The sequence below is a fragment of the Homo sapiens genome, chromosome 6 (assembly GCF_000001405.40).
Source record: "Homo sapiens chromosome 6, GRCh38.p14 Primary Assembly".
Taxonomy (NCBI): domain Eukaryota; kingdom Metazoa; phylum Chordata; class Mammalia; order Primates; family Hominidae; genus Homo; species Homo sapiens.
The window spans coordinates 49518208-49530853 of NC_000006.12; the positions used below are offsets into that span (position 1 = coordinate 49518208).

At 39.6% G+C, this 12646-nt stretch overlaps 1 protein-coding gene across 1 annotated transcript in view, besides 1 other annotated feature; it reads left to right on the top strand.

Moving 5' to 3' along the window:
- The window catches only part of GLYATL3 (glycine-N-acyltransferase like 3), a 28156-nt gene extending 18285 nt beyond the window's left edge, over nucleotides 1–9871 (top strand). Inside the window, exons 5-6 of the mRNA NM_001010904.2 lie at nucleotides 3438–3564; nucleotides 8281–9871. Coding sequence (NP_001010904.1) covers nucleotides 3438–3564; nucleotides 8281–8707 — 554 coding nt within the window. The 3' untranslated portion in view covers nucleotides 8708–9871. The remainder of the gene's footprint in view (nucleotides 1–3437; nucleotides 3565–8280) is intronic.
- Nucleotides 1679–1728: a silencer, noted in NCBI's record as "silent region_17276". NCBI's record gives its function as "represses an Ori minimal core promoter by ATAC-STARR-seq in GM12878 lymphoblastoid cells {active_cell/tissue: GM12878}" and the evidence as "EXISTENCE:reporter gene assay evidence [ECO:0000049][PMID:35858748]".
- Nucleotides 9872–12646: the final 2775 nt, after the last annotated feature.

A 12646-nucleotide genomic window follows, 5' to 3' on the forward strand; every position in this document is an offset into this window, starting at 1 on the left:
AGACAGGATCTCACCATATTGACTAAGCTGCTAAAGTGATTTTATACAGAAAGAGTTTATATGAGCTGTGAGGAGATAACGGCATGGCCATCAGGGCTTGGGGCAGAACTTTATGCCAGGAGAGAAGAAGATTAAGGGTTTCTGATAGTTTAGATGAATAGTTTCCGCGTCAGTGTACACTTACTCTTCCAGCTTTTCATAATGATTAGGTGTTGGCACAGGCAATAATGTTGTTGTTTATGATTGTTCCAGTGAAATGAGTTCCTTGATCATTTAACAGGAAAGTAGGGAACCTCATATTGGAAATCTAAAGTCTAGTATTTTTTTTCAACTACAGAAAGCTGAGGTCCTCCAATAAGGAAAAGCTTCTATCCACCTGGAAAATTTACAAGTAATGATTAACACATGGTCATAACCCAAAGACTTCAGATGTCATATAAAATTTATTCGTAGTCAGGTGCGGTGGCTCACACCTGTAATCCCAGCACTTTAGGAGGCCGAGGTGGGTAGATCGTGAGGTCAGGAGATTGAGACCATTCTGGCTAACACGGTGAAACCCCGTCTCTACTAAAAATACAAAAAAATTAGCCGGGCATGGTGGCGGGCGCCTGTAGTCCCAGCTACTCAGGAGGCTGAGGCAGGAGAATGGCGTGAACCCAGGAGGTGGAGCTTGCAGTGAGCCGAGATCGCGCCACTGCACTCCAGCCTGGGCGACAGAGCGAGACTCCATCTCAAAAAAAAAAGAAAAAAATTATTCGTAAATGCGCAAAAAGACCTTATGCAAGAAGCTCTAAACTATCTCTCACCTTTACAGATTTGCCCCAGTCACGCTGGTTAGAAATGAGACATGATTCTATCACTTCCACAGCCAATTTAGAAAAAAATGTTCTGACCGGTATTACTTTAACATGGAAATGAATAAATTTCCTCATTGGTGTGAAAAATCATGGTAATAATTGGATGGATCTTGGTGCTAGAGGCCTATTATCACTAAATCACCTCAATCCATCATTATATAGAAAAAAGTTATATAATTTCCAATATCTTTTTCAGAAGGCTGAGCTGATAGTTGTAAGTTATAGTCATCTAAATTGACCCAATCATTCTTTCTGAAGGTTTGGTGGGGACAAATGTGAATTAGTATCACCTAATATAGCTGGAGTAGTAACGGTCCCTCATTTAGCACATAAGTCAGCCTGGACATTACCTTCGGCTTCTCCTGTGGTATTTTGACTACAGACTTCTGTGGTAATAGCTGTAATGTTCTTGGAATACTGAATACCTTCTAAGAAGTCATTGGTATGTTTACTATTCTTAATTGGAGTATCCAAAAAGGTCATAAATCCTCTCTGTTTCCATAACACAATTCAAAAAGCCTACCTACTGGCCATATACATGATCAACATTTGCCACAGTGCAGGCTCCAGTCACAGATACTAGTTTGGCTACTGGGTAGATCAAGCATTAGGTGGTGGAGCTGCTTCAGGACTTGATGTCCAGAGGAATGACATATCCTGCATAGGAATGCCTTTGTCATTTTTAATCTGAGAGCCATTAATGAACAATATTAAATCATGTTTAACCCAACAAGCTACCCAGAGTAGCTAAACCCCTTTAGTTTGCCATATGAAAGCAGGAAGTGAAAAAGTATACAGCTACCCACACAGGCCAGGCTCTTCTGCTCACTACTGGTTGCACTGACGTGAAAAAGATAATCTACATGTGTACTAACCTGAGAGTTTCAGAATCCTGCTTATTGGTAACTAGTCTAATAAATGTCCTGAATTCTGGCTTATCCAGTTAGCCACTCTTCTCATAGAAGGTAGGTAGAAAGAGGCAGAGCAAGATGGGAAGTTCCTTTCATTTGTGGGAAAGGAGAAAATCATTTGTTAAAAGTCGTAACTTGTAAAGAAGACAAAAGGACATGATCAAGAACACCATGAAGAGGCAATCAACAAAATCCAAGACTGTGAAAACTGCACAGCAAACACCTCGGTGTTTTAAACAAATAAACTGAAAGAATCAAAGAGTGGGGGTAGGGATTGAAGGAAAACAGGTAGATTAAAAAATTTGAGACCAAAATTAAACTATAGTGTGTTTAAGAACACACACTTGAAAAGTAGGCACTGCCTCCTTTTTTCTCATAGTCTTTTGAATCACTTAGATGGAATTCAGTGTTATAATATGAGATACTAGCCACAGCATCTGTAATTTTAATAACATTAACTCAAAAGCCTACTTATCTTTTCTGAGGCTTAACTCCCTGAGGGAGGAGCCAAGGCTCCGATACCACACTGTGTTCAATACACCTTCCCACTCATGCATTCTTCAAGAAGTCCCAGGCCCACACTGAAGAGCCTTACCAGTGGGGAAGAAACAAGCCATTAGTCATGGGAAGAGGGGAAGTCAGTTTGCAGAGAATTCAATCCAACAGGACACAGGCTGGAAAGGATGGAGTAGATGGGGATTTGGAAAGGTGGAGAAAGGAATCATACTATAACCTCTCTAAGAACAAAGACCAGGAAGGGCCAGGCATGGTGGATTATGCCTGTAATCCAAGCGCTTTGGGAGACCAAGGCAGGAGGATCACTTGAGGCCAGGAGTTTGAGACCAACCTGGACTTATAGGGAGACCCCATCTCTACAAAAACAAAACAAAACAAAACTTAAAAAATAAATCAGCCAAGTGGTGGCATGCACTCAGGAGGCTGAAAGAGGGGGATCATTTGAGCCCAGGAGTTCATGGTTATAGTAAGCTATGATCATTCCACTGCACTCTAACCTGGGCAAGAGAGCAAGACCCTGTTTCTAAATAAAATAAAGAAAAGAAACCATACCATTTTTGTGTACCACTATGAACATTGTCTAGTACAGTACTTTATATATATACAACACCTACTGAATCAAGATTTATCAAATAACTATGACAAGTGGAATCTGGGTGAGGTAAGTTCAGGGTAAATCTCACCAACACTGAGTTACACCTTGAGTTCTGTAATGGCGAGGTGTAATAGAGAGTCTTTGAAGTTGGTTTGCCACGCCAAACAAATCTAAGCTCTTGTATACTTCATAGACTTTTAGAGCTCTAAAATGTCATCCTTTATTTCGTGGAGCTTAAGGTTAGTCCGAGAGTCCAAAGTATCAATATTCTCCCAAGAAATTCTAAAGTCCCGTGAGATATTCCCATCATAAGTTTCTATGAAGATCGTGATGAGTGGTCCCAATGGGCAACATCATGGGAATTTGAAACGCCTACAAAAATTTGAAACTTAGACAATAGCTGTAATAATTTAGATGTAAGTATACAGTGGTTAGGATAATACAAGGTGGCAAACTGCTAGTATTGATGATTCTCAGTATAAAATTACTGCAACAAATTTCCTTTTTGCTTTTTCAACTAAAATGCCCACATATTAAATTATGTCTTTCTATACACAGGGCTGCAGAGTGAGTTATATGATGTTTCCAAAGCGGTTGCCAATTCAAAGCAGTTGAATATAAAGCTAACTTCCTTCAAGGCTGTTCATTTTTCTCCTGTTTCATCTCTGCCAGATACCAGTTTCCTGTATGTAAACCAAGTTTTTGCATTTGGGGCAGGACTTACTGCTATAGAAGTACACGTAGCAGTAACTGGGGTACTTAGTATCACTATGGAATATCCAGGCACTCTGGATTTCAACCATTGAGCACAAACGGGAGTATGTGTGTGAGTGTGTGTGTGTGTTTACTCTTCTCCTCTCTCCTGTGCTTGACTGCTCATAATTTCATTGAAAATCAAATCAGTATATTTGTCCATAGTTATAAATGAACTCAGAATTCCTGTGTTTTCATAGTATCCATGGAAAAAGCATTCCTTGGTGTCCTTATCCCTCAAATAATTCTAAATAATATATACTGTCTGAGTCCAAAGTTGTTATTGATTTTGCTGTTTCAGGGATGGGGGTATATAGCTGACTTATGTTGCGCTCTTATGTGTCAGGGACTACATATCTTAAATATATTATCCCATTAGTTCTTTCCACAACCCTGTGAAGTAGGACTATTATTATTGCCCCTCCCACCCCCACACACCTTTTTAAACAGAGATGAAGTAACACACAAGGGCAAATTATAGAGCCAAGAAAGAATCCCAAGTCCAACTCCAGATGCAATCTTTCAAAACACTCATTAGTTTGTATCTGCATTTATTCTTCTTTTGGAGTCCCTGCTCTGTCATTTACTAATTACCTTTCTGAGTCTCAATTTCTTCTGAATTCGTTCCTTTAAGTGTTTTTTAAATTAATATCATTTTAAATCAACAAATAATAATTGTACACATTCATGGGGTACAATGTGATGTCTTGATAAATGTATATACTGTAGAATGATTAAACCAAGCCAGTTAATATTAAAAAAAGTTGTAATATTTTCCTGACACGTTGTTTTGCAAGAGACTGAAGCAAGATAGTTAAAAATCACCCACCTCAACGAATGTTAATTTTCTTTACTCCTACAGTGAATGTTGAAGAAATTGTTGAGCAAAACAGCACTAAACCTTAAGAATGTACATTTTAAGTCATAGGAAAGCAACTGGATTTTCTTTTATTGTATTTCTAATTATGAAAATTTCAAACACACATAAATGTTTAAAGGATAGTATAAAGAACCTCCCACCAATACATAGCTGACCTTATTTAATTCATACAACTATATATTCTTTCCACTTCCTGGATTATTTTGAAGAAAATGTCCCAGACATTATCCTTAAATATTTTAATATGTAACTCTAAAAAATGAGTCTTAAAAAAAAAACACCCACTATACGGATATTACTCCTGTGTCCGAGGTCCCCAAGAACACCCACAGGTTCTATGGTTCACTATATTGACATACAGGACTCAGCAAATATACTCACGGCTATGATTGATTACAATGAAGAGATAAAATGCAAAATCAACAAAGGGAAAGGGAGCATTGTGTAAAGTCCAGAGGAAGCCAGGCACAAGCTTCCAAGAGTTCTCTCTCAGTGGAGTCACACAGAATGTGCTCAGTCCCTAAGCAATGACCTGTAATGATATGTGTAAAACGTTTCAAACTCCTGGCCTCAAGCAATCCTCCTGTCAGGGCCTCCCCAAATGATGGGATTACAGGCATGAGCCACCGTGCTCTGCTAAAAGTTGTCTACCACGGAAACTTATTATTAGACACTCAGTGCCCAGGATTTTATTGGCAGCATCCTCTGCCTAGCACAGACTGATTTCCTAGACTCGCAGAAGGAAAGCCAATGTTCAGCAAAACCCACACTGTTTGCACAACTTAATCACAGTGAGCCATTTATGTGAGTCCTGGAAATGGTAGCCCCCCTCCAGATCCATGTTCTCAGACACCAACCAAGGGTCAACCTTGCAATTCGGCCTTTTTAAGGGCGATGGCCTCAAGCCTTCTATGTTAGTCTTTTCTGCACATTCCCTTAAAATACTGTTAACATATTTCCTTAAAGTAAAATAACATTATTCATATTTCCGATATTGTCGTAATATTTTTAAGCTTGTTTTGAATCAACATCTAAACAAGGTTCATACATAGACCTCTTTAATACATCTGAAGTTTCCTTTGACTTATAAGTTCCCCTTCATCTTTATTTTTTGCATTACTTTTCTGTTGAAGAAACCAAGTTATTTGTTCTTTGAAGTATCCCATAATCTGTTTACTATTGTATGCCTGAGGTATTATTTTAAAATTTCCTCTGTCCAGTCAAGCCTTTTGAAATGGGGTTTTAACTTGAACTCTTCTGCATACAGTTAGACATTTTGTCTTTTTTTTTTTTTTCTTAACTTCCCACACAACACTGATGCAAACAATTTGCCTTTAACACCTAAGTCATTACTCAACTGCGTGAACTCTATTTTGAACACCCAGCCCTTTGGAAACAAGGTCAGAGTCTCTAACACAACTACTCCTGAAACACTTGCCTTAGCAATGATTTTATTTGCAGTGATATTTCTGCCTGCTTTAAAGTTCATTTTCAAAAACTCAATTGAAAATTCCATTAGGCCAGCTAATTTTTTCCCCCTGCTTAGTGGATAGATGACTGGCCCAGTTCCATAGCTGATAATATGCCTGAAATGTGCAATAACACTACACACCTCTAATTAAAAGAAAACACAAATTTTTACTTTATAAAAATGATGACAAGAACATTATCTCTTACCGGTCACTGGGGATAGTCTTATGATATTAATAGCTTTAAGACTGAGAGCAAATTCTGAGGCACTGTCAGCCTCATAGGCTTTCAACTAAGTAATCCATTTCAGTTTTGAGAAATTGCAGCAATTCTTTTTCTTTATCTTAATATCAGGGGCTTTATATAGTAAACTAATAAAAACTTTCATACCATTAGAATAAATACAGTGAAAGCTAGTGGCCTATACAAATACTGCCAATGGAAAAGTTGAAGGTTGGTACTATTTAACCTAGAAAACAGCAGGCCGAGGAGACAGTTTTAAAGAACAAATATGGCCAGGTGCAGTGGCTCACACCTGTAATCCCAGCACTTGCCGAGGCGGGTAGATCACCCTGAGGTCAGGAATTCGAGACCAGCCTGGCCAACATGGCAAAACTCCATATCTACTGAAAATAAAAAAATTAGCTGGGCATGTTGGCACGCGCCTGTCATCCCAGCTGCTTGGGAGGCTAAGGCAGGAGAATCGCTTGAACTCAGGGGGCAGAGGTTGCAGTGAGCCACTGCACTCCAGCCTGGGCAACAATGCGAGACTCCCTCTCAAAAAAAAAAAAAAAAAAAAAAAGAACAAACATTTCTAAAGCATGCACATATGCTTGGCATATTAAGAGATTTTATTTCTTTTTTGGCCATGGATGCATAACCACAGAAGTTCTATTCTAAAACATTTTTTTTTTTTTTTTATTGAGCAAAAGATTAGGGCTTCAAGAATCTGGACTTACCAAGGCCTCAGAGAGGATTTCAGCAGAGTCAGGACTAAATAAAAGCAATTCTGAGGGTTTTTGTTGTTGTTGTTGTTGTTTACAGAAAGTGTTAAAAGAAAAACTTTAGACAGATTAAATTTAGCAACGTTGGTCTGGGTGCAGTGGCTCACACCTGTAATAATCCCAACACTTTGGGAGGTCTAGGATGTTGGATCACTGGAGTGCAGCAGTTGGAGGCCAGCCTAGCCAAAATGGTGAAACCTTGTCTCTACTAAAAATACAAAAATTAGCCAGGCGTGGTGGCACACCTGTAATCCCACACGCACGTGAGGCTGAGATACGAGAATCGCTTGAACCGGGGAGGTGGAGGTTGCAGTGAGCCGAGATTGCACCACCGCAACTCCAAACTGAGAGACAGAGCAAGGCTCTCAAAAAAAAAAAAAAAAAAAAAAAAAAAAAAAAAAATTCAGCAACGTTTATTTGAGCAAAGAACAGTTCATGAATCTGGCAGCACTCAGAATGAGAAGTTCAGAGTTATACCCACCAGTGGGAGATTTTATACGCCAGACACAGAAGCAAAGTAGGTAAATCCTCTGATTGGCAACAGTTAGGTATATTTGGGCATGGTCTGCTCACTTACCTGCCTGTGATTGACTTGTATAACAAACTCAGCTGTGCATTATAGTTCTAGGGTTGGTTTTGTGTCAAGTTAGGTTGCAGTTCAACACGCGGGGACTCAAGGTATGGAGGGAGCTGCAGGCCAAACTTAATTTATTTAACAACAGAAACACTTTCCTTAACCTGTGCTGAAGGCAAAAGCAAGTGAACATAAAATTAGAAGCAACGACTTAAATTTGATGTAATAAGTGTTTTGTCTTCTCAGAAATGAAACCCGGAAAGGTGTTGGTAAATCGGGAATGGTGGATTCTAACTCACTGAAAATCTTAGGTGCCCTCTCAGGGATGGTTTCTCAGTTTGAACCAATATGAAAAGAGTAGTTATAGGTCGGGCATGGTGGCTCACGCCTATAATCTCAGCTCTTTGGGAGGCCGGGAGGGGTGAATCACGAGGTCAGGAGTTCGAGAACAGCCTGGCCAACATCGTGAAATCCCGTCTCTACTAAAAATACAAAAATTAGCTGGGATGGTGACGGGTGCCTGTAATCCCAGCTACTTGGGAGGCTGAGGCAGGAGAATTGCTTGAACCCGGGAGGCAGAGGTTGCAGTGAGCAGAGATCACGCCACTGCACTCCAGCCTGGGCGACAGAGCAAGACTGTGTCTCGAAAAAAAAAATGTGTAGTTATGTATAACCACATGAGTCTGAGGTCCTATTTGTTTTTGTGTCATTCTGGTCTAGCAAGGGGCCTTCCCCACGACTAACCTACCTGAGTGTTGCCAATGCGGATCTACTCAACCGGACTTGGTCCCGGGGAGGCAATGAACAATGTCTCCGGTACATCGCCAACCTCATCTCCTGCTTCCCTAGTGTGTGTGTCCGGGATGAGAAGGGAAACCCGGTCTCCTGGTCCATCACAGACCAGTTTGCCACCATGTGCCATGGCTACACCCTGCCAGAACATCGCAGGAAAGGTTACAGCCGGCTGGTGGCCCTCACGCTGGCCAGGAAGTTGCAAAGCCGGGGATTCCCCTCTCAGGGGAACGTCCTGGATGACAACACGGCGTCTATAAGCCTCCTGAAGAGTCTCCATGCTGAGTTCTTGCCTTGTCGCTTCCACAGGCTTATTCTCACCCCTGCGACTTTCTCTGGCCTGCCTCACCTCTAGCCCAGTAAAAAACTGCAGTGGTTTTATTACTTTCCCTGAGCATACACACACTCTTGGCTGCCAACGAGGGGAGAGTTAAAATGGGAATCAGGGGACTCTTGAGTTGTTGGAAAGGGTCTGGAGAATATATACAGGATCCACTTGAGAAGCCTTAATTTTTCGTATCTCAGGTTTCTCCAGTAAATAGCTGTGGGGGTGAAGAGTAGCTGTGGCTGAAGACTGAGGACGATTGTCCTCCTGTAGGATCCACTGTAGGAGAATAGGTTCTAAAGCCAGCAGTTTTAGTGTACTAGGAGAAATTACTGCATGAGAACAAATGATTTAACAGAGGACCACGTGGCTACTGCTTTTTGATTGCTGCTTGGACCTCTGCTCTGTATTCTTAAAGCCACACCGCTTCCCTACTGCCATCATATTCCCCTGTCCCCACTGCTATGTCTCATCAACCTCTGTTCCTAACACCTCTGCCACCAAGTTCTCTGTAGAGTAACCTCCTTTTTCCCCTTTAATTACTTGCTCTTTACTTCTGCCTAGGACTCTAGCCTATAGTTCACTGCCCTGGGAATGTTCAAATATAGTGGTTCTTACATTTTAGTGTTTATCAGAATCACCCAGAGGGCAGGTTGCAACACACATCACTAGGCCTCTCCTTCTACGAGGTAGGGCCCAAAATTTGCATTTCTAACAGCTTCCCACTGCTTATTTGCCTTGGATGAATGACAATATGGGCATTTTGATGCTATAAACAAATGCTGTCACCATAGAACTAGACTTTACCTATAACCTATTTCAGCCCCCTTATTTATAGTCTACTTTCCCATATAAAACTAAGATTTATATATAGGGGTGTTTGGGGGTATGCAAATGAATATATAACATATATGCATACACATATATATACATTCTCTTCATTTCTTTTATATGTATAGGTATATACTCATAGAATTTTGATAAGATAATAAATTTTAACCCTTTGATTACATATGAAAAATTTGAGGACCAGAGAAAATAAATGACTTTTTCAAGATTATATTCTTTATAATCAGTACTGGAGGCAAAGCCAGAATGCTGCCATTTTAATTCCAATCTGTTATTTTCACTAAATCATGTATCCTTTTTTATAATGAAAATTAAAATGCTTACATAATTAAAATATTAATTTTAGTTTTCTCTTATTCTTGTCATTATTTCTTAATTTGGGTTCTGATTGCTTGTGTATGTATACCTTTCAAGGTCAGTAAAGAAAGAGATAAGCATCACCAGCTCTGTTCTCTATTTATAATAAAAGCAGGCACTAACACAATAGTTAGATTTGCCTTGTCTTGATAATGTTGACTTAGCTATATAGAAAATATTGGTTTCTTATCCCCAAGGAGGTCACAAAATTCTGACTACAAAGATAAGGGAAAATCCAACTTTCAGGCATTCATTCTGAGAAAAGGAAGCAAACTGGCTGAAGTAAAACACATTTTAATTAAAAAAATAGGACTCAGTAAGAGTAAATATATGCTTAGTTCATCCTGAGCCCACAGTTACCTGGAAACTTATCTAGCCTTGGATCCAGAGGGGAAAGCACCAAGTAACCAGAGTCCATAAACCTCTTAGGAGAATATGCCCTAAGGACGCTAATTATGTTTAGCATCGCTTAAGCATGAGTTAATCCTGCTTGATATATAGCAATATTATTATAGCCTTATTTTCTTCCTAATGATAATTTGCCTGACATTTAACGTTTAACTATGTGCTAATAATTGTACCAAATATGAGATGTATATAACTTAATCCTGGTGAGGGATAAGGTATTGCTTTGTTGTGGGAATTCTTGCTTAGAGGTGTTATGAGTCACCAAAGTCATGCAGGCTCTAAGTGGCCAAATCATGATCAGAACATGGGTTTGTTGGATTGCAAAGCCTATACTACTAGTCATTATGCTAATTGGCCTCTTAAGCAGCTTGGAACAGTTTGTAAATAATTATTCCCTTATCTCGTTACATTCTGAATTTTCTACCTTCACCCGCACCTCCAAAACAGACCCCATATTTGAAAGATTTTTGTTCCTACCAAATTGCTCTTATACTATTTTCTTACTTTCATCTTCCAGCTAACTATGTTGGATATAATTGCTCAACTTTTAACACTGTTTCTGACCCTTTTAAGGCATGTGCAGAGAAAGTCTGGAGTAAGGAGAGGACAAGGAGAAGAGAAAAACTCAAGAAGTAGAAACGGGGCCAGGCGTGGGGGCTCACACCTGTAATTCCAGCACTTTGGAAGGCCAAGGCAGATGGATCACTTGAGACCAGGAGTTAGAGAACATCCTGGCCAACATGGCAAAAACCCATCTCTATTAAAAATACAAAAATTAGCTGGGCATGGTGGCACATGCCTGTAAGCCCAGCTGCTTGGGTGGCTGAGGCATGAGAATCACTTGAATCCAGGAAGCAGAGGTTGCAGTGAGCCAAGATAGCGCCACTGCACTCCAGCCTGGGCAACAGAGCCAGACTGTGTCTCAACAAAAAGAAGTAGGAAGAGGCTTGATTAACATAGGTTTTATTTGTTAATTCAAGGAAATTCTTCAATGTAATATAAAAACCAAAAAAAAAGCCTTAAGCAGCGCATTAATCTGTTTGGAAATTAGTTGGGAGGCTATAAGCTAAGCAAAAGGTGGTGGTAGCTTGGATCTGAATGCTAGCAATGATAATGGTGAAAAGTGAACAGTTACTTAAACTATTTAAAAGGAAGAGTTGTCAGAACTTAATAATTTAGTGGCTGTAGGGTATGCTGAGAGAGAAATGTCAAGGATGACTACTGGGCTTCTACGTTGTGAAAGCCACAGCTGGTGATAGTTTTCACTGAGATCAGAAACCCTGGAAAAATCTCAGATCTGGAGCAATTTGTAGCAGGGAAAATTGTTTGTTCAGTTTTGGGATGTTGAGTTTTGAAACATGCAAGTGATGGGACCAAGTTGGATATTTGAGTCTAAATCTCAGAGAATTTATTTGGGATAGATGTATTGACTTAGATGATAACAGATATAGATATAGATATAGATATAGATATAGATATAGATATAGATATAGATATAAATATAGATATAGATAACAGATAACTGATATAGATGATAACAGAAGCCATGAATTTAGCTGAGGTTGTCTAGGACTGAACCTTAAATGCATCAACTATTTAAGGCAAGGGAAAAGAAAGGCTCTGGAATAGGAGAAGGAGCAGCCAGAAGATAGGAGGAAAGCCAGGAGATGACTCCCATGGAAGAGAAAGAAGAAAAATTTAAAAATGGAGGGATGGTCAATGGTGTCAAATTATGCTGAGAGGTCAAGAATACATTAGGAATGAAACATCTTCATTCCATATTTCACTCTCAAATATTTTAAACATATGTACCAAAAAGAAGCCAGAAACTGCATATTGCATAATCCTGTTTCTATAAAGTTTAAAACCAGGCAAAATGAATCTATATCTGTAGAAGTCAGGAAGTAATTACCCTTCAGAAGGATAGTAAGTAAAACTGGACATGAAATGGCTTCTGGATTTCCAGTAATATTCTGATTCTTGACTTGGGTGGGTTACAAAGGTGTGTTCACTTTGTAACACTTTGTTACACAGCTGTGTTCCACTTGGTAACACAAGTATGTTCCCTCCAGCCCTGACTTAGCCAGGCCCTTCCCTGCTGGGCTCAGTCTTTCCATAGGCAAATCTGCATGACTAACCACCTCCTCCTCGCCCCCTGTGAGTCAGGGCCTAGAGCATATGATTATCAAGCTATATAATTATGATATATCTACTTTTCTGTATGCAAGTTGTACTGCAATAAGGAATATTCGTTAATAAAAAACAGGCCTGAAATCTGGAAAAAAAATGCATATTTCCATTACATAAAAATCCCACTTTTTAAAATTTATATTGGTATAATATAAAAGTATGCAA